At 47.6% G+C, this 21918-nt stretch overlaps 2 protein-coding genes across 13 annotated transcripts in view, besides 1 other annotated feature; one reads left to right on the plus strand and one right to left on the minus strand.

Annotated features, from left to right (window-relative positions):
- Positions 1–14824, plus strand: part of HABP2 (hyaluronan binding protein 2) — a 38772-nt gene extending 23948 nt beyond the window's left edge. For both annotated transcript variants that reach the window (NM_001177660.3, NM_004132.5), the window contains exons 4-13: positions 1119–1226; positions 2372–2488; positions 3248–3367; positions 3849–4020; positions 5817–5914; positions 7098–7353; positions 8438–8580; positions 9370–9504; positions 11015–11160; positions 13427–14824. In NM_001177660.3, coding sequence (NP_001171131.1) covers positions 1119–1226; positions 2372–2488; positions 3248–3367; positions 3849–4020; positions 5817–5914; positions 7098–7353; positions 8438–8580; positions 9370–9504; positions 11015–11160; positions 13427–13591 — 1460 coding nt within the window. In that variant the 3' untranslated portion in view covers positions 13592–14824. The remainder of the gene's footprint in view (positions 1–1118; positions 1227–2371; positions 2489–3247; positions 3368–3848; positions 4021–5816; positions 5915–7097; positions 7354–8437; positions 8581–9369; positions 9505–11014; positions 11161–13426) is intronic.
- Positions 2179–2379: a silencer, noted in NCBI's record as "peak1095 fragment used in MPRA reporter construct". NCBI's record gives its function as "represses an SCP1 promoter by STARR-seq MPRAs in K562 erythroleukemia cells {active_cell/tissue: K562}" and the evidence as "EXISTENCE:reporter gene assay evidence [ECO:0000049][PMID:32103011]".
- The window catches only part of NRAP (nebulin related anchoring protein), a 75328-nt gene continuing 67345 nt past the window's right edge, over positions 13936–21918 (minus strand). For 5 of the 11 annotated variants that reach the window (NM_006175.5, NM_001322945.2, XM_047425253.1 and 2 more), the window contains 5 exons: positions 20845–20949; positions 17416–17523; positions 15800–16111; positions 14888–15019; positions 13936–14301 (listed from right to left, as the gene is read on the minus strand). In NM_006175.5, coding sequence (NP_006166.3) covers positions 14197–14301; positions 14888–15019; positions 15800–16111; positions 17416–17523; positions 20845–20949 — 762 coding nt within the window. In that variant the 3' untranslated portion in view covers positions 13936–14196. Of the gene's footprint in view, positions 14305–14887; positions 15020–15799; positions 16112–17415; positions 17524–20844; positions 20950–21918 lie in introns of all 11 variants that reach the window. The other 6 variants (XM_005269864.3, XM_005269865.3, XM_006717870.3 and 3 more) reach the window with 2 other exon arrangements.

Below are 21918 nucleotides of genomic sequence, written 5' to 3' on the forward strand. Positions count from 1 at the left end.
AGTCCATGTCAGCCTTGAGTACCAGACTGTAGCATGTACACATTCAGCTTTGGGACTTTCCTTCCCTCATGCCTTTGCCAGAACTTTTCCTTCCCTTCCACTTTTTCTTTCTCCCTTCACTCTTTAGAAGCTTTCCACAATTGTTAGATTGTGTGTGTGTATGTGTGCATATGTGTGTGTGTGTATTCATACACATGTGCTCCTACCACACTTGTTTTTGTTTTTGTGGCTTCTTAACCCAAGCAGTGGGACAGAAAAGAAGAAGCTGGGTCCAAGCAATGCCATGTGACTAAACCAGGAGAAGGAATGGAAAGCACTTAGCAGCTGGAATAAAAGCTGTGTAACTGTGCAAAGTGGCCTGGAAGGCAGGGCCAAGATACAGGGCATGGGGGAACATCAGAAGGGACCATCAAAACAAGAGCAGGGCCCAGGGATCCTAGTTCCTGAACCAAAGAACAATGTGTGTGAACAGAAGGATAAAGAATTCCCCAAGGGAAGATCCATTCAGACAACCATGAAAAGCCACAGGCACAGATGAAATATGACAAAATCTAACTGAACAAGTAGTTGAAGAAAGATGAAGGCCACTGGGTCATTTCCTCCTTGCCGCCAATTCTTCTGTCACCCTCTTGCCTTTGGTCTTCTCTCCTGATGTTCAGAAAGCTTGCGTTTCATTAGGGGTGGGTTTTCTTTCCCCACTCCTGACCTCCACCCCTGGGCACTGGAAGTAGGGGAGGTCTTCAGGCTTGTGAAATACCTTCAGCATCAGAGACAGACCCTGTGGCACTCCCAGCAAGACTGGGAGGAGAAAAACACTGATGAGGGAAAAGGGGAGTTTCTCAATGAGAAAGGCCCCGTCCAAAGCCAGGCCGAGGGGAGACAGTCGTGGTTCCTTCTCGCCTCTCCTCTCACTAACCTGAATCCCTCTCTCTGGTCAGGTGACTGCAGTTTTCCTTGCTGTTTAGGGACAACATATGTTTTCCTCCTTTCCCCAGTTTCTGGCTCAGTAGTTACTCTCTCATTTGGGGCAGGAGACTGAAATTTGATGAAAAATTTGGAGGGGGGCGCTTCTCACCTGCCTTTCCTTACCAACATTGCCTTCTTCCTGTGTGTCTTAGATCCATGCCAGCCCAACCCCTGTGAACACGGTGGGGACTGCCTCGTCCATGGGAGCACCTTCACATGCAGCTGCCTGGCTCCTTTCTCTGGGAATAAGTGTCAGAAAGGTGAGTCCGTCATCACTAGTCCACTCTTCCCTCTGAGTTAAACAAGAGGCAGTCCTTTCTGTGTGAGAAAGCACTGCGCAATGCCATGGAAAGGATTATAACTGCAATACTGTATCATGCATAGTGTATTCCTCTGCAGGGTCCCAGGCAGCCTCTCACTGGATCCTCACCCCTGCACTGTGAGATGGAACTAGTACATCCATTCTCCAGATGGGAAGATTGAGGCTGAGAGGGGATAAGGGCTGGACTCTAACCAAGATATATCCCAAACTCAGGACTTTGTGCTTAGAGTTTAGTCTAACTGCAACAGAGCCATGTTGTCCTCAAATGGGAGAGCAGGGAGGATCTCAGGGCACATGAGACCCAACCCAGTTAGAGAAAGGGAACCCAGAGAGTGGGGGCATTTGATCAAGGTCACACAGCTAGCTAGATGTAGAGCAGAAATTAGAGCCCTCGTGCCTGACTTCTGGCCCATGCTCATTCATTCTACCATACTCACTGTGTCTGCTGCCAGTGAACTCTTGTGGGCATAACATGAGGCAGTGGAATAAAGCATCAGGAATAGGACTCCTAGGGGCTAATTTTACCCCTAGAGAAAAGCTGTATTCGGGCTGCTCTAGCAACCATCTTACTTCGTGGAGGGAAGTGGGGCCTTAGGTATATGTACAGCTTTGTGGTTGACTTCTTCCCTCGGTGCCCTCTTCACTTATTCTTTTCATTTTCAATCCTGCAATTTCTTCAGTAAATTTTTCAGGATGGTTGAGAATATCGAGTATAAACACAGTGTCTGGGCTCACTCCTCAACTTCTCAGAAAAGTGACAAAACTGTAAATGCATTCTGAAGTTAGCTAGAAAATGGAGAGACTAAAATTGCAGCTCTGTTTGGTGAAGGTGTAACAATTATCAAAGTTTTTTTATTAAGATATAAAAATTAAGACTATGGGCATGGGAAGCAATGTGGGAGACAATCCTCCATGACCCAAAAATTAGACAGAAGCCTTGTCCTGGCATAGCCCAGTGTTTCAGGACCACGGACAAGGCTACAGACACTGTCAGTCACCCCACCCTCAAACATTGTTTTATACATGTATCCCTCTAAGGAAAATGTGCCCCAAATAATGTCTTATGTTATGGATCTCCTACAGTGCAAAATACGTGCAAGGACAACCCATGTGGCCGGGGCCAATGTCTCATTACCCAGAGTCCTCCCTACTACCGCTGTGTCTGTAAACACCCTTACACAGGTCCCAGCTGCTCCCAAGGTAAGTGGTGGAGGCCCCTTCGACGCTAGACTTTCTGTGCCCTATCTTGTACCTGCACCCTTCTGCATGGAAGGCCAGATGCATCTGATGTTTTTGTGGCAGGCACCCAAGATGGTCCTTTTCCCTAGGCTTTCTAAAGATTCATTATCCCTGGATTGACTCCACCCAGTGGGAATTGACTGGTCTGTGTCCCTTCCCACCCAAAAAGAATCATCTTGAAACTCACTTCTTCCAGGAAGTAGACCCTGATCTATTCCTGAGAGGGACCAAGTAGGGGAATGAATACATATCGAGTCCCTGCTGTGAGGCAGGCATTGTCTCAGGAAATTTACGTTCTCTTTTGCTTTCTCCAAAGACACCTCAAGGAGGAGCTTTACAGATGAAGAACCTGAAATGTAGACAGATTAACTCATTTGCTCATGGCCACATGGGTATCAGCAGGCAGAGCTCTACCTAGCTCAGACAGGGCCCACCACTCCTGCTCCGTCCATGCTTCTTTGTTTCCTTACTGACTGACCCATCTACTTATGCACTTAGGCATGGCCTCCAGCCAGATTGCTTCATCCACATTTGCTTATGTTCTTAAGGCTTCTGTGTACACTTACTAGAGTGTCAGTGGATCTGTCTTTCCCATCTGGTGACCCATCTTTCGCGAAAGGATGGACACCAGTAGAATGCCACCAATGTCTCCTTGTCATCTCAGACATGGGCTGCAACTCCTTCTGAAGAGCCTTCCTGGCCCCATTCCTGTGTTCACAGTGGTTCCTGTATGCAGGCCAAACCCCTGCCAGAATGGGGCTACCTGCTCCCGGCATAAGCGGAGATCCAAGTTCACCTGTGCCTGTCCCGACCAGTTCAAGGGGAAATTCTGTGAAATAGGTATGGGTCTCTGCCACCATCAGGGCCACAAGTGAGGCCTCTGGAACCCTTTCCTCTCTGGGTTTTGTTGCCAGAATGTGGTTCAAATCAAGTTTCCCAAACTCGACTATTGCCTCAGCCTTCTCACCTAAAGGGATAGGGCGTGTCTGGCTTCCTGTAAAGAAAGTAATAAACTGGGGTGTAGTGCAGGCAAGTCAAACCACTTGGGCATCCCTAGGCCCTAGCCCACCTTCCATCAGTTCTTGTGTGAGCCAGAATTAAAGAACTAAGCTCCCACACCCTACAACCACTATATTTCATGTTTTAAGCAGGATTAAATGTGGGACATTCAACACTTTTTTTTCTGAAATTCGTGGTGAAATCTCAGGGCGATAAATATGCAGGTCCAGTTCTCTCACCATGTCACATACCCACCAAGCCCTTTTTGGGAGTGGCATGCCAATGGCTGTTGGTTCTCACATTGCTACCTGCTCTCTCGGAGGTTCTGATGACTGCTATGTTGGCGATGGCTACTCTTACCGAGGGAAAATGAATAGGACAGTCAACCAGCATGCGTGCCTTTACTGGAACTCCCACCTCCTCTTGCAGGAGAATTACAACATGTTTATGGAGGATGCTGAAACCCATGGGATTGGGGAACACAATTTCTGCAGGTAACATTTACCTTATTTATGCTCAGTTGATTTTGGTCACTTATTTTAAAACAGATCATTGAAATTCATCAGCCTCCTTTCTAGGAAGATTTTCTTACTCAGCAAGGCAATGTTATGCTGCTGTAGTAAACAACTGCCAAATGTCAGTGGCTCAAATACATCAAAGTCTATTTCTGGGCTGGTTGCTGTGGTTCATGCCTGTAATCCTAGCACTTTCAGAGGCTGATGCAGGCAGATTGCTTGAGCCCAGGAGTTTGAGGCCAGCCTGAGCAAAATGGCAAAACCCCGTCTCTACCAAAAAAAAAAAAAAAATAGCTGAATGTGGTGGTCAGCACCTGTAGCCCCAGCTAATCAGGAGGCTGAGATGGGAGGATCATCTGAACCCAGGAGGTCGAGGCTGTAGTGAGCCACTGCACTCCAGCCTGGGTGACAGAGTGAGACCCTGTCTCAAAAAAAGAAAAAAAAAAAAGAAAAAATGTCTATTTCTTACTAATGTTCCATGTGTCATGTGGGTTGGTGGTGATGATGGCAGGGGATTCAGCTCCACAGGCTTACTCAAATATTCAGGATCAGCAAGAAGAGACTGGGAAATGAAGCATGAGTTTTTCTCTACCTCAACCTAGAAGGGACACATCCTCTTCCCACACATACTTTGTTGGTCAGAAATAATCACATGAGCCCACGTAACTTCTAGGCAGAGATGGAGAAGAGCAAGTGGAAGGTCTGTTGAAGGTGATGGTCTCTGGCCCAAGGATGTTCAGGCTTTCCCATGTGAGGCTAATGCCACCACCCTCCCTGGTGGTGATCTAGTTTCCTTCTTCCTTTTCTGCTGCCTCCAGGCCACTCTGTTGGCTTCCTGCCACTACCCTTTGTCTGGCCAAGGCCAATGAGTCAGATGAGTTGCAGGTGAGGGGGTCTTTGTATGGCTTTGAACTGGCTTCATAAATGAGGATTTTTTCTTGTTTTTTTTTTTTGTTTGTTTGTTTTTGTTTTTGTTTTTTTGAGATGGAGTCTCACTCTGTCACCCAGGCTAGAGTGCAGTGGCACCATCTCAGCTCACTGCAACCTCTGCCTCTCAGGTTCAAGCAATTCTCCTGCCTCAGCCTTCCAAGTAGCTGGGATTACAGGTGCGCACCACCACACCCGGCTAATTTTTGTATTTTTAGTAGAGATGGGTTTCACCATCTTGGCCAGCCTGGTCTCGAACTCTTGACCTCATGATCCACCTGCCTTGGCCTCCCAAAGTGCTGGGATTACAGGCATGAGCCACTGCACCCGGCCATGAAGATTTTTTTTTTTCACAAAACACTAGTACTTTCCACTTGCACTCACCTTGAGCTGTTCCCTTTGTGGAGCTGTCTTCGGGGGCGGGGGGAGGGGGGGCCTCTTGGCAGCCTTTCTCAGAGGATTCCCATGCATAGAATTCAAAGCCTCAGGCAGAGGAACCCAACTCTCACCATGTTTATGTGATGATTTTACTCTCCTGATATAGAAAGGTCTTCATCAGGGATCTCATTTCTTTTCCTACAAATAATTTGGTATGTCCTGTGGATCTGGCATGAGACTTGGGACCGCTTTCTTGTCCTTGAGATTTTCCTCTAGAAGAAAAGATTTTGCCAGAAAAAATACTATAAACACCCTTCTGTTCTAAGGTTTTGTAACCTGATGGAGGATTCAAAGAAATGTGGTCCCAGGGGGAGCACAAGAGTCTAGCACCTTCTTATCCAAAGGTTCTTTAATAAGATCCAGTGTGTTCATCAAGCCTTGACTCTGAGTTGTTTTGTTTTGTATTTTAGAAACCCAGATGCGGACGAAAAGCCCTGGTGCTTTATTAAAGTTACCAATGACAAGGTGAAATGGGAATACTGTGATGTCTCAGCCTGCTCAGCCCAGGGTAAAGGCCATGGCTGTTCAGAAGCCCAGGGGGTGGGGGGGATGGAGATTTGTAGGGAGATGTCCCTGGCACCTGGTCCCTCCCTCACCCTGTTCTTCCTCCACACCTGCTTTACCAATTCCCATCCCAGTGCCAGCCCAACTGCCCAACTGTCTGCACCCACCAGGATGCCAAGCAGGTCTGGATACCTTTGTGGGTTTAGGTCAGGTAGTCCAACTCTAAACTCATGGTTTCTGACTCCAAATCAGTGCCCTCAACAGATATTTACCCATCTCTTGCTGTTTGCCAGCCACTATGCTGGGCACTGGGTGTGCAATGGTGATCAAACTGGCTGGGCTCCCATAGCCTCTTAGGATGCAAAGCATTCAAATTCCAGCCTCACAGTCTTCCTGGCCATCTGTCCTGGCCCCGCTCTGTGCCCACATCTAGAATGATGTGCCCTTCCACCCTGACCAGTGGGATTCCTTCCCTGAGCAGTTTCACATATGTGCCTTTGATCTTATGGTTACTTCTGTCTATAACATACCATCCCATATCTGTTCTTGTCCATATACAACTATTCTTTGAGAACCAACTCAAATATCCCCTCCTCCAGGAAGTCCTCCTTGATTTCTCAAGTAAAATGTTATCTCTGCCTCCTTACAAACCCTAAGGAACAGGACAAGGCACCACCTATACAACATTTACTGCTCTCTCCTTTTGTGTCACAGTCATCTGTGCAAATGTCTTATCTCACCTATTCTAGTTCATCTGAATATCCTCCCCTCTACCCTGAAAAAGCCTCCACAATTGTAAGTGTGCACTAATAATGAAAGGTGCATTGATGATGCACATTTATAATTGTGGGGGCTTTGTCAAGGTGAAGTACATACCCAGTGAGGGATTTGTATATTTACATAAACATAATGTGTGTGTGTACATGTCAATCTTAGGAGTCACATACTTTGAAATGGACAAGAAAAAACTACATTGTTAATTCTATAGACTTGCTTTATGTTACGCAATGTATTCAACAAATATCAACTGTGCACCTACTGCATGCCCACCCTGTCTGCACCAGTGCAGTCTCTCAGCTCTGGACCCCTGCTCAGCTGTTGGGCTCAGAGTCATACCTCTGCCTGAGCCCTGCTGAGGAACTGGAGGGAGGCTGAATAGCACAATTTATCTTTCTTGTGTCCCACAGACGTTGCCTACCCAGAGGAAAGCCCCACTGAGCCATCAACCAAGCTTCCGGGGTTTGACTCCTGTGGAAAGACTGAGATAGCAGAGAGGAAGATCAAGAGAATCTATGGAGGCTTTAAGAGCACGGCGGGCAAGCACCCATGGCAGGCGTCCCTCCAGTCCTCGCTGCCTCTGACCATCTCCATGCCCCAGGGCCACTTCTGTGGTGGGGCGCTGATCCACCCCTGCTGGGTGCTCACTGCTGCCCACTGCACCGAGTAGGTGCCGCTGGGAGCAGGGACCAGGGTGGCTTGAGTGGCTGGGGGTGCTCTCCCCTTCCCCTCTGAGCAGCATCTTTGTAGCTCTGTCAGGATTAGGGGGTCTGATCTGTTCAAGGGCAAAAGAAGGGCTCCTGAAAGCCAGAGGGAAAATAGCTACCATGTCTGGAATGTTTACCATGGGCACTGCATTTATTATATGACATTTAATCCTTAAAGCTGTCTGCTGGAAGACAAGCTGAGGAAGGTCAGGGATTTTTATCTGTTTTATTAACTGTAGGATCTCCAGTGTCTTGAGCAGGCCTTTGTACATAGCAAGTGCTGAGTAAATATTTGTGGAGGAAAAGAGTTTATTGTTATTCCCTTTTTGTAAGTGAGGATCTTGAATCCCGGGATTCTTCCTTTACCTTGCCTGAAGTTGTATGGAAAGTTAAGTGGACAAGTAAGATGGAAACCCCATTCTATCTGCTTCTTTGACTTCTTTTGTCCTGCCCTGAATAGAGGAAAGCATGCTCCTTTGTCTGATACCATCACCAATGACCCTTCTGAGTCAGGTGTCTTCATCCATGCCTCCTGTGTGCCTTAGAGAAGCAAGTAACTTCTGGGGAGCTGAAGAGTCACCCCCTCTTCTGAGCTCCCTGTGCTCATGGTCAAGGCTGGTCCAACAAAGTCTGGGTTTTGGAGGTGGCCATGAAGGTCTTCCAGTTCACCTTATAGTAAATGATTTCTCTGGGATTCTAGGAGGTGCTCCTCAAGAGAGGTCAAGCAGGCAAACATTAGCACCTGCCAATGGATTTTAGAAGATTGGTTCAAGATGGCAATGGCTGTTTCTTTGGAAGGCCTAGGGAGAATGGGAGGTCTCCCATGAGAAGTGGGTAAAAGTTATAGCTTATATTTGGAGCTTGCTTCTGTTAATAAAGCACTTCCCTTACATAATCTTATTTGGACCCTACCACAGCAGAGTTCTGTGAGTGAGACGAGGGTTACAAATGAGGAGGCTGAGTCTGCAGAAGGTCAGATTTGCCAAAGGCCACACAGCTGAGCAGAAACAGTGCCTTCCTGACCATCTCATTTTCCCTTGCAGCATAAAAACCAGACATCTAAAGGTGGTGCTAGGGGACCAGGACCTGAAGAAAGAAGAATTTCATGAGCAGAGCTTTAGGGTGGAGAAGATATTCAAGTACAGCCACTACAATGAAAGAGATGAGATTCCCCACAATGATATTGGCAAGTTCCTCTTTCATGGCTTTCCTGAGGGTCTTGTCCTGGGTGGATTTCTCTATGACCAGAAAGCTGAAGTTTGGTTCTAGAAGGTGCTCTTGATTGTTTTTGGTCCCTGTGGACCCTGTGCGGTAGGGAATGTATTCCAGGGATTTTTAGTTTTTGAGGGTATGTGCAAATGTAGATAAATGGGCATATGCTCTTAAACTGAGGGGAAGCAATGCTAGGAACATTGTGCTATGGAATAGGCTTGGCCTGGAATCCCAGCTTCCCAACTTTATCACCAGGAGACAGCTCACCTCCTGAGCCCTCTTTTCTCTTCTATGAAATGGAAACACTGATGCACAACTCTCAGCTTCCTATGTGTCAGGAGACACAATGTGCTTGCAGGCATGCCTGGCCCCTAGCCCCTGGCAGGTGCTCCAGTGCAAATGCAATGACGTTCCTAGCTACCAGCTGCTCAGTTCTGTATCCCGTTTCCCTTTTCATGAGACACCCCCCCACCTCTCTCTCCTTCCTCAATAGCTTTTTTCCCCTCTAATGGCCTGTTTCTTAAAAAATGGATTAGAAATGATTTCAAAGTCAATTGTCATTTCTTGACATGACTCTCGCCCTGAAGTGTTACTCCTTCCTGGGTGGAAGTTCAAAATATGAAATGACCACGGAAGAAGATTTTCAGGCATGGTGGGGGCAGGTGGGGCTTTGCTGTGGCCACCTTCATGAGCAAGTTGGAGCTGGTGCTTCTCTGACAAAGAGGTGACATCGCATCCATTTTCTACCTCTCTCTCCACCTAGCATTGCTCAAGTTAAAGCCAGTGGATGGTCACTGTGCTCTAGAATCCAAATACGTGAAGACTGTGTGCTTGCCTGATGGGTCCTTTCCCTCTGGGAGTGAGTGCCACATCTCTGGCTGGGGTGTTACAGAAACAGGTGAGTCGGCCATGCACTCTCCCATGACTTAGGTGAACTACATCAACCAGAGAAGAAAGGCCAAACTCAACTGCCCTTTTGAAGTTGAAATGAGTGTCATATTCAAAATGCATCAACCAAAGAAAGCATCCACCTCATTGATCAAGCTCTGGTTAAATTCCTCCACCTGCAGGGAGCCTTCCCTGAGTTTCTCTGATCTCCATATCTGTCCCTGGCCCTACCCCTAAATACTTGAATTTTACCAAGCATTGACCCTGCATTTATGGAGCTCTTGCTCCCTTCCTAGTTAGATTGGAAAGAGGAAAGATCATGGATTTTTGAGTCAGACAGACTGGTATTCAATTCTTGACTTTGTCACTTGAACAACTGAGTTTTAGTTTCTCAATAATCATACTTACTTCCCGGGTTTGCAAGCATGATCACAGGGGATGATAGAATTCTACAGAGACATTCATTAAGTCAGCCCTTAGAAGATGGGGGTCAGGTCCCATTCATCTCTGTCTGTCTCACAGTACTTTGCTCGGGGTTCTCCACACAGTAGACATTCTATAAAATTGTGTTAAATCCAGCTGTTGATTTGTCTTTAGGATTTGGTCTAATTTTTAAAAGTAACCAAAGGATTACTTTCCTCATAGTACTGGCAACATTATACCCACTACTACAAAAAAAATTCAGAAAGGTATTTCATGTCTTTTCCAAATACTCAAAATATATTTCTCTTCCTTCGCAAATCCTGTCCTTAATAATGAATAGCGAGAATCACGATAAATAAGTCTGCAGAAATTCCACATATCTGAACAAAGTGAAATGTAATATACAACTTTGAGTCTTTTGAGAAAGATGTCTGGCTAATTGGATTTAGGGTCAGCCAGTAAACTCATTTTACAGCCATTTTCATTGTAGTCCATCTGAACTTGTCAACCTCTATTCTGCTCAATATGGTCTGGTCAGCATGGTGATGTCTCAGTTGGGAATCTTTTGGAGCCTCAGGTTAGAATTATTTTGCTTTTCATAAACAGGCTTCTAAGACTTTATGTTCAAAGCCTTTATGTTCTCTAAGACTTTATGTTCAAAACATGTTTTGATTGATGTCATTATCTTTACAGGGGAAAATGCCTGCTCTAGGAAGCAGGTAGCCTACTGCGCAGGGCACTTCATCCATCCATCCATCCATTCATTCACTAAGAATTGTGCCAGCCCTTTTGTTAGGCCTTGGGAATTTTAAAATGGTTAAGAGAGCATCTATTTCCTCCTGAACCTCATGGCCTACCTGGGGAAAGAGAGGAGGGAATATACTATCTGGTCCATGTATCATGACCAGCACAGGATTGCAGGTCTGCACTGGCATGGTGAAGGCTAAAGATGAGGCTTTTCTGCCCATATCCTGGAAAAACCCTTCCCTTCTGAGCTAAGAGTTGGTGGGCTTCTCCCTGACAATCTGGTTTCTGGTGGGGTTGGTGCCACCCTGGTCCCCACAGTAGTGACTCTTTTCTCTGCACCTTCCCCACAGGAAAAGGGTCCCGCCAGCTCCTGGATGCCAAAGTCAAGCTGATTGCCAACACTTTGTGCAACTCCCGCCAACTCTATGACCACATGATTGATGACAGTATGATCTGTGCAGGAAATCTTCAGAAACCTGGGCAAGACACCTGCCAGGTCAGAGACTCCAAGTGGTGCTTGTGGTAGGAGAGGCTAGCAGGATGTTTCACTAGGCAGAGGACCCTTAGAGCCCTGGGCTGGGAGCTAGGTTCAGAGGTCCACCTGTGGTAAAGCTAAGACACAGGTGAGCTGTGTCTGCCCCCTGGCCCTCTGGTGCATCTGCATCCGCATCAACCCAGGATGACTCAGCATAATGACCACAGAGGTCACATTGCCTGCACTGTCTAATTTAACTCTCACAACACACTGGTGAAGGTGATGTCATGATCACCATTTTACAGATGCTTAGAGAAGTTATCTTGGCCTATAGCAATTGGGTGGCCAGTGGCAGGGCTGGGATTTGAACAATACAGTCTGCAGGACACCAAAGGGGCTTGTGGCCTCAGTGTAGGGCAGCCTTTCTGAGAATCCCAGTAAACAGGGAACTGTCCAGAAGACCAGTGGCTAGAAGGAGAAAGAAGAAGGCCTAGAGCTAGAGATTTCACAGTAATATTAACTCATGATTAGGACTCATGTGTGCGTGTGTGTGTGTGTGGGGGGGGGGGGGGTGTTTTAGCCCTAGAAAACTAAGTATATCTGTAGCCTAGGGCCTTTCAGAACTCCAAGTTGCTGAGGCTTGTGACTCAGAGACACTGTTGCAGAGAGAGAAGGTGGTGGCTCCATCAACCAATGCTAAAGTGACTTCAGGCCCTGCCCCAAGTCAAAGCCCATTCCCCATAGTCCCTTTATCTGTAGGGATCACATCACACAGGGTCCTTTCTAGAATCCCAGGAACACCTCCATTTAGAATTTTCTGACTGTTGTCCCCATAAGCCTTCTAAATGTCCTGGAAAACAGCATGCCAACATTCAAATCCCAACTCCTTCAGGGAGCCTCCCCGTACAAAGGAACCCACAATGATTTGCTGGCCTTGAACTCACTTTGGGATGGGACATCAAGGTTCCTCTCTCCAGGGTTTGTGGCTCTCCTGTGACTATCTGTCTCTTCCCAGTGAGCCAAGGATGTTCACCTACTCAGAGGAGGGGCAGATGGGTGCAATTTGCCCTAAACTCCTTCCCAGAAGATGGTTAAGAAAACAGCTCATTCAGGCTGGGCATGCGTGGTGGCTCAAGCCTGTAATCCCAGCACTTTGGGAGGCTGAGGCGGGCAGATCACCTGAGGTCAGGAGTTCAAGATCAGCCTAGCCAACATGGTGAAACCCTGTCTCTACTAAAAGAAAAATACAAAAATTAGGTGGACATGGTGGCACATGCCTGTAGTCCCAGCTACTGGGGCTGAGGCAGGAGAATCGCTTGGACGTGGGAAACGGAGGTTGCAGTGAGCCAAGAGGGTGCCACTGCACTCCAGCCTGGGCAACAAAGCGAGACCCTGTCTCAAAAAAACAAAAACAAACAAACAAAAAAAAACCTCATTCAATTCCCTAGATAATTGAAGGCTTTCACTTGCAGGCTTTGGAAACAAATAGTTGTGAATTGAAACCTGTTTCTGTCTCTTACTGTATGGCTTTTATCAGTGATGAAAGCAATTCTTCAATCTCAGATGCCTAAACTATAAAATGGAAATCTATCTATAAGATCACAAGGTCGTGGCTAAGTTTAAAATAGAGAATTCATTTTTTAAAAACCTGTCAGTTGTAGTGTTTAAGCAGTATTAAGTTTTTGAGAGCTATCACCCTCAATGTCTTCTTCTCCTCACCATCATCATCCTCGCCACCTTCCGTGAGGGTTTAATATGAACCAGGCACTGTTCTATATACTTTACAAACAATCTTCACAAGAACCCTGGGGGATGGGGATCTATTGCTATCTATGGTTTACAGTGTGAGAAACTGAGGCCTAAGGTCACATGCCTGGCAGGTGGTAGGGCCTGGCTTAAAACCCAGGAGATCTAACCCCATAGACCATGCTGAGCACCTAGGCCACGCTGCCTTGGAGTCCCCAACCTCCTCCCCTATGTGTGCTGAGGGCCCCCGAGAACTCACAGTCATAACATCTGCATCACTGAGAGTTGGGAAGTGCAGCTGTGCGGCTCCTCTGTTAAGCCCGCGTGGACTCAGGGACGGAGGACACTGTTATCTTCTCTCCCTTAGAGTCTTGTATCATGTGAGATGTGGGGAGAGCCTTGTCACTGCTTTCCAGAGAAGCCCACGGAGGCTGGCAAGGGACTCCACCCCATCCCTCCCTGACACCCCCTGGAGAGAGGTGGGGGCATCTCCAGATGTCTCTGGTTCACGAGGATGAGCTTATGCCTCTGTTTCCCTTAGGGTGACTCTGGAGGCCCCCTGACCTGTGAGAAGGACGGCACCTACTACGTCTATGGGATAGTGAGCTGGGGCCTGGAGTGTGGGAAGAGGCCAGGGGTCTACACCCAAGTTACCAAATTCCTGAATTGGATCAAAGCCACCATCAAAAGTGAAAGTGGCTTCTAAGGTACTGTCTTCTGGACCTCAGAGCCCACTCTCCTTGGCACCCTGACACCGGGAGGCCTCATGGCCAACAATGGACACCTCCAGAGCCTCCAGGGGACCACACAGTAGACTATCCCTACTCTAAGCAGAGACAACTGCCACCCAGCCTGGGCCTTCCCAGACCAGCATTTGCACAATATCACCAGGCTTCTTCTGCCTCCCTTGGTAACCCAAGGAATGATGGAATCAACACAACATAGTATGTTTGCTTTCCTTACCCAATTGTACCTTCTAGAAAATCAGTGTTCACAGAGACTGCCTCCACCACAGGCATCCTGCAAATGCAGACTCCAGAATCCCCAGCATCAGCGGGAACCACCATCACATCTTTATTCCTCAGCCCAGACACTCGAGGCACTCAACAGAATCAGCCATCCACGTCTAGGTATCAGAGAGGACCACAAATACAACATTCTCCATCTGCTTTCAGAGTTATTATTTTAATAAAGGAAGATCTGGGATGGGCTGGTGGGCCATTCCAGCTTGCCGAAATCAAAGCCATCTGAAGCCTGTCTCTGGTGAACAAACTTCCTCTCTGGCCTCTCAGGAATCAGGGTGGACATGGCTCACAACAGCAGGGCCTTCTTCTTTTTGACGTGCAGAATCTCAGTGGCATCTGGGTTCACCTCCCCACTCTGATGATCTCCAGCCTCCACTGCTTCTGCCCCCCGCTGCTGAAATCAAACATACCCCAAGTTAAAATGAAGCTCCCCCACCCCCACTCCCGGCCCCGGTTCCCACAGGACACGCTAAGAAGCACAGGGAGCATTTAACAGGCTCACCCTCCCTTTCCTTTTCCCCTCTTCTACCCTCCCCAAGAAAAAGGGCCTTCAAGGCAGGAATGAGAAAGCAAAGCCAATCTCTCATTTAGACCTGGCTTCTTTCTTCTGAACAAAGTAGGGTTCAAAATGCAGACTGTCATATCCAGCGAGTCCCTGACCCTTTCTGCGAATGTAACGAGCAAGCAGTCAGCACAGCCTGGGCTGCCCTGGCCCGGGATTGATGTAGCCCCGGTAGGTTTGCCTCTGCAGAACTAATGGCTGTGACTTCAGAGAAAGCCCTGCAGGAAGTTTAACCTGCGTGTCATCTGCCTGGTCATCTCAGACCCATGAAATTAGGCGCCTTGTTTGAGCTGCGTTTCACACTTCTTTAGAGCTAGCTGACCTTTGGCCAAAAATAAACTTTGAAAAGAAACAATGAGTTTGTCTTTCCCCATGGCCTTGCAAGCCAGGGGTGGCTTTGCAGCTTGCTACTCACGTAAGCTCCCTGGAGACCCAGGCCCCTTGCGTTGGCCAGTTCCGCAGCCCGCCGAGCCATTTCCACTTTGTAGGAGCCAGGAGGGGTCCAGCCAACACCTCTGGTCAGGTTCAAGTCTGATTTATACTTGACCTTGAGGGTAAGAGGGAAGCAAGAGGAATATGTCAGCAGGGTTTGGAGCGGTTTGACCATTAAGTAAAGAAGATTAAAAAGGCAGCCACAGTATGAGACTATGTTGTCTGTCATCAGTAAAGCCAGAACAAGGGGAACAAATTTATCATAAGCAGCATCTCCCTGGCACAGGGGCCGCAATGTGCTGTGAGTCCAGCCGGCATGTTGCTGTCTCTTGCATCTTCCCATTCAAGTGACAAAAGTTACAGTTGGGAGTGGGTGGGGTAGTGACACCTGCTCCACACACTCTGTGGCCTTAGGGAAGCCACTTCCCTTCTCTGGGCTTCAGTTTCTTCCCAGAGAAAGTGCAAAGGCTGGGTTAATAGCTAAGATCCCTTGGAAACAGTTTAGCATAGCCATCGAGAGCTTGGGCCCTCACAGCAAACCAAAAGGGGTTGGTATCCCAGGTCTGCCACTTATTTGTTATGGGATCTTGAGTAAGTCACTGAACCTCTCTGAGCCTCAAGTTCCTCATCTGTAAAATGAAGCAGCCCTGGGGTTGGCATAAGTGCCAATGGCAGGAGGCTTGGAAAGCATTTGACACAGAGCCTGGCCCACAGGAGACACTCGAGAAGTGGTGGTTATTATTGTTATTCTTTCTGGCACTAAAGTGTTAGGTGTCTTGGATTCTCTCTCAGCCCAGCTCCCCCAGAAGCTAACAATGGAACGTGGCATTATGGCCATCTCTTAGGAAGAGGCACCAGGGGAAGGGCCTCAAGGGAGTGGGTGGAGGTGGCTCACATCACTCTGCAGCTGGTGGGCCTTCTGAGCATGCCTGAGGCCCAGCTGCTCCGGGTCGCAGGTGGGCTGGGGCAGGGGCTGCCTGTAGTGCACATCACTGGCCAGCTGCTGGCTCCTCTTGGCCTGAAGGAGGCCGGGCTGGTCTGTGCTGCTGTGAAACTGGGACCGACTCTTGGCAAAGTCCTTCTTGTACTCATTGTCACTCTGGAGCCTGCCAACGTTGAGGAAATGCTTCATCCTTGGGTCATCGTCGACACTGCGGTACCCGATCTGCAGGCCTCGGTCCCGCAGGAAAGCCTCTTTGTACCGGAACTGCAAGTCAGAGGAGCAGAGGCAGATCATGGGTGCCTACCTCCCCCAGGACCAGCCTCACATATGGGGCCATCCCAGGGCATTCTCAGCAGGAGGCTCAAGAGTGGGTTAGAGGCACAGGCTTTGGATTCAAATAGACCTATCTGTGTGGTCATGGGCCTGTTACTGAGTTTCTCCATGAGCCTCAGTTTCCCCATCTGATAAAATTGGAGAATGATCTACACCCCATAGGAGGTTGCGAGGATTCAACCAGATAAGGACTGAGCTTCATGTCTGGCATCAGCTCTGGCCCACTGAGTGGTGGCTACTGGTATTGTCACTATTGTAATTAATACTCCAACAGGAAGATAAATGTGCCCATTCTCACATAGGCCACTCTGCCTTTGATTCTTTCCAGCTTTTAGGGACCTAGTCCAGTGCTCCTCAAACCATCTACAGTGAAGGGCCAGTCCCATTTTGATTTGCTTTTTACATTTCCAATGCATCAAAGACCCATGTATGGTCCTATTGCATGTGGCTAGTATGTAGCAGTACCACTTGTATTTGGTAACACCCAACCTGGCCTTCACCCTTTTCAATGAGATGAGTCCAGTGATCACATGCTTGGATGTTACAACGTCTAATTGCTAAAAAATATTTCAAAAATCCCATGCTCTTAATTTCTGTACTTATCCAATTGTGGACCAGCAGGAAACTGTTCCCAGGTGCGCCTCCGTCTAGCACTGTGGACACTTGTCTAGTCAATGGTGCCCTCTCTTGCAGAATACCTGCTATGTTCCTGACACCATATACGATTTTGTTTTCATTCCTACATTAATCTGGGAGATAAGATCCCTATTTCATAGATGTAGAAAATCAAGTTCAGAGAATTTGAGCAACTTGCCCAAGACAAACAGCCAAATTTCCTAAGTGACTGAGCCAGGATTTGAACTTGTCCATCTAGGGCAAAAGCCCTATCTCTTTCTACTCTACCACACTGAACTTCAGCTAAAAGAAGTCCTTTTATTGCAAATCAACAACCCAAGCTCATATTCATGAACCTCTTGGTACTCATCCATCATCTTTTAAGAGTGCCTCTCTAAAAAGAGAATGGAAATACAGCCCTCCTTGACCACAATTTCTGCCTAAGATGCTAGAAAGTAAAGCCCTTTTTTTTTTCTTTCATTTAAAATACAGTACATGTTCAGTTTTGGTGCAGAGAGAGAGATAATCTTGACAGGTCCTGGTGGTTTGCCTTTCAACAGAACTGGGAAAACCAGAGAAAAACTCATCAGTGACCGCAGGAGAGAACATGGGGGTCTTACATCACTGGCGATCTCCCTAGATGCCCGGGCAGTCTGGAAGGGGATGGCATCCAGCCTGAAGTCATAACTGCCAGCCCGGGTCTGCTCCCAGGAGTTTCTGTAGACTTTCTAGATTGGAAAAACAAAAGCATGAGTAAGCAGGCAGTCACTCCACTGTCTTCCATGTTGCTGGTACTCAGCAGGAGTGGTTCTTAACCTTTGTTGGTTCCTAGGACGGCACAGCCTATAGCTCCATGTCCACCTTGGCGACTCCCTAGCACTGGGATTGGTGGGGTTGGCCGTAAAAGGCTTCAGCTCTAAGCCCCCAACCCGCCCACCCATTAGGCCCTGCTCCTGTGGGGCTTGTGATCTTCGGGTATGGCTCATTTGCGACACCCACTTGGTATCAGAAGCCTCCACCCCACTCCTTCCTGTCTTTGCATTCACTTTCAGTGCTTCGGGTTTGCAGCTTCTAGGTGCCAGAATTCAAGCTTCCAGAATCCAGTTTCTTCCTACATGCTGAAAGTGCTGTTCCTTGGGCCTTGGCACTCATGTGTTTGTTAGCTCCACTGACATCCGGAGGGGCCTCAGCCTGGCTTTGATGCCATGCCTTGCACCATCACTATGAGGCATGCTGCATCTCATATACACCCCTGGTGCCTGCACGAAGGGAAGAGCCTTCACCTGAATTAAATTTATTGTCAAGCACCTGACCGAGTACCTGACCCATGTGTTTCATATCTTCCTCTTTCATTTTTTCCCTTTTCAAGTTGTTCTCACACGCCCTCTGGGAGTCTGTAATCATATCCTCTTAGTCCTCAGGTAGACCCACATCACCGATAGAGGCATCAAAATCTTCTGTGCCTTCATGTAGCTAATATTTTTTTTTCAAGATAAGGGAATGGCTCTATAAAAGGAGGCATCTGGAGATCCCAGTGGAGGGCTGTTCTTTATTCAGCCACAGAGAAGGGAGACAGCAGGAGAGGCGCATCACCAACAGATGACAAAGTGACAGCCCCAGACCGTGTCGGTTGCTCACTCGTTCCACGAGCTACAGCAGGTCAGGGGGCCCTTAAGAACCGTCCTTTTGTCTCCTGGAAATGGAGGTCAAGGCTGGCACTCTGTTCTACGGGGGATTGGGGGGATTAAGCAAAGGAGGAGTGGCAGATGAAAAGCAAAGTGCCCCACCCCATCCCACAACTGGGCCTGGAACTAGAGAGGACCACAAAGTGCTTGGGCCAAGCATGGCGGATCTCATCATTTCTCTGTACTGCAGATCACACCACCTTCACCTCCATCCTCGCCTCTGACTCCAACACCCGATGCCGTAAACCCTGAGCCAAACGTCTACTGTGTTCTAGGCCCTGGAAATGCAGAACCGTTCGTTCCTGGGATAATCACCTAACTGATGAATCACAGAGCCAAAATGATTAGATTTACTGGGTCATCATTGAGTTTAGCAGTTAGGACTGAAAGACATGTAGGAATGTTCAGATTATGACAGACTGATGATCCTCTGTAGCATTCTGCTTTCTGTTTGGGTGGCCCCACAAAGGTTAGAGTAGCAAATAGAGTCAAAACCCTGATCACTCTCTCTAAGGGGCACACCATGCCTTCCTAATAAGAATGCCCGCACCAGATCTGGGCTGGTTATTGACACCAAACTTGATGCAACATCGAAGTCCAATGTCACCCCACTTTGGTGTCCAATGCACCCCAGCTTCTGAGTCTCTGTAACTCAGGGTCAACTAGAAAGCATGGCCCAGATCGGGGGTCTCCCGAGTGTGCAGGCCCCTTTCTCTGGGCGACTTCTCCCTGTGTACTATTTGCTTGGTTGTGATCACTTCCTCCCTGAGTTTTTTATTCTGTTGAGGTTTTTGCCTTGCCACTGGGAGTCTTTAGATTCCGTAGGCGCTTTGATTTGGAACCCTGGGCGTTCCTCTTCTTTATCACAGTGGGCACAGTTTTGTCCTCATCCTCACACATTAGAGTCATTTGATTTTTAGTTATTTCGGCTGCCTTACACATCTCAATGGCTTTCTTTGCCCAGGAAGGTCACTTTCCCTCCACATCTTCCTCACAGAGCACTTGATCCAATTGTGCGTATTCTACACGCCCCCGAAGAAGTGCTCTTTCAAAAGAGGTTCATGAGTTATCCATATCCGCATACCCTGGTGGCTAATTTCAGCTCCAGGACTCTGCAGACCGGCATCCCTTGTGAGAGGGAAGATGCTTCCATCACCAGCCTGGGGTGGCTCTCCTCCTCAAGCCGGGCCCCAAATGCACTGGCAGCTTTATCCCACTTTCTACAGCGATGGGTCTCCAATCGTTCCTCAAATGGAGGCCTTGCCTTCCCCCATCCTTGAAGCATTAATGAGATAGATGTTTTGTGCAGGCTCTGCTGAGGGGGAGGTCCTGCTTCCCCAGATGGAGGTCAGCCCACCAGAGCTGCTGTTCTAAAATTATCCCCTGCACATCCCTCAAAAGCATCAAATGGTCATAATAACTCATATTTACAAAGCACCATCGCATTCACTGCATGGGATCCCACAGGGCTTTACAAACGCAACAAACTAATACACACGCTAACTAGAAGGCGCCTCTCGCCAATCCCTGCAAGGCAGCCACCTCTGGGGTGAACGGTAGCAGCTGTTGATCTGCACGGAGCCCCAGGACACAATGGCCAGGCCAGGGAGGGAAGAATGGCCGGACTCTGGGAGGCCCTACGCTGCCCCAGGCCAACACACTCAGCCTGTGTTATTCTGATCTGACAGTGTCTTTTGATTCTGCCGTCTCTCTACCTGTTATCCAAGGATCACAGCTTTGCTGGCCGAGCGGCCGCCTATTCTATTACAACCAGGGGCCTCCAACCCCTGCTAACAACAAGCCTGGGTTTAGGAAACAGTAGCTTGGTTATGCACGCAAAGGGCACATGTCCAAGGGAAACGAAAGTGTTGGAGGCCACAGTCCCATGCACAAAGGAGCGAGCTGCATTTGGACGGGATGGGCTACCATTGCAGCATCTTTCCAAACTGTGGGGTGAGATAGAGCCACTCTATCTCCAGTGACACTACTCTGAATGACTACAGAGAGGGGTCCAGGAAACAAAAAGAGCAGGTGTCTACACCCACTAGGGCCAGGGGACCACTCCCCTCATGGTTACCCAGCACATCACTGAGATCTTTGGAGCCATACCCAAGTCAGAATTTTAGAGCTGGAAAGAATCTCAGTTTAGCTCAGCCCATTACCATTTTGCAGATAAAAAAAACAAAAACGAGGACCACTGAGGAAAGTGACTGAAAGTCACACAAACAGTTTCTCAGTTCAGTGTCCTTTCTGTTCCAAGTCCTCCTTCCTAGAACTTTTTTTTTTAAAAAAACGAAATCCACATTGGGCACAGATCATTTTACAAAAGTGGGCACACGTTCCATGAACCACCAGTTCACTTACGTCACTCAGATGCAGCGCATTGAGGCGAGCTCGGGTGAAATCGGGATGGTCGGGGATCAGGGTGTATCTGTGCAGGGATTCTGCATCTCCAGATCTATACATGCGCTGTAGATAAGATGGGCTCATGGTAAATAGAGAACTGTGTGGGCTGAAACCACAGGGGAATAGCAACTGACTCCCTTTCCTGCCCCTCCCACCTGAGTGCCCACCGCATAGAACAGAACCCAGTCCTGCCCATGGACAGTGTCCCTCCAGAACCCACAATTTGATGGAAGATGCCTTTATAGCCAGGGTCAGATGGGGCAGCTGGTTTTAAATAGACTGTTAAAAATATTCTTCAAGATCTGCTCCAAATAAGCCACAAACCAACATCATGGTTGGCCATACCTGGGTGTTTTACACAGTAGAAGATGTGTAGATATTTCAGAGAATCTTTGCAATTGAGCATTGGACATGCTTTTTACTAGTAACAAGATACAGCCTCAATGCCTTTGTTGTTTAACATTAATGGTGATAATTATAATATGCATAGTTAATAAGTTCTTTTTGTTATAAAACATCTTAATACATGTTCAAGAAATTAGTATTTTCATAGCCCACCTGGATCACAGGAAGACACAATTTTAAAACTCAAAGATTTATCTGGTTTCTATTTTTAAAGCAGTGATTTAAGAATTACAAACAATTTTAGGAAGTGTTTGAGTCTTATGTACTTTTAGAGGTGAAACTGTAATATTCCGATCAATTCCCAAATTTAACTGAGGCTTTACAAATATGAACCAGTCGGTACAGTAGTCGGGCTGTCTGTGAAATGGAGCAGCTCTGTCACTGTGCATGTAGAACTGAATCCCTTAATTTCAGGGGAAAAACATTAACTTCCTATTCCTTGAAATAAAGACAGGAATGAGGAAATAGGGCTAAATTATACAGAGAGTAAAATCAGGAAGAAGCTTTAAATACAGCTGTTCCTATTTTTTTCTTAACTGGGTTATATTAAGCTTTTAATTCCACTGCCATCTATCAACAAGCAACATGTATCTGACCTAGCCTTTGGCAAGGGATCATCAATAATAC

The sequence above is a fragment of the Homo sapiens genome, chromosome 10, assembly GCF_000001405.40.
Source record: "Homo sapiens chromosome 10, GRCh38.p14 Primary Assembly".
Taxonomy (NCBI): domain Eukaryota; kingdom Metazoa; phylum Chordata; class Mammalia; order Primates; family Hominidae; genus Homo; species Homo sapiens.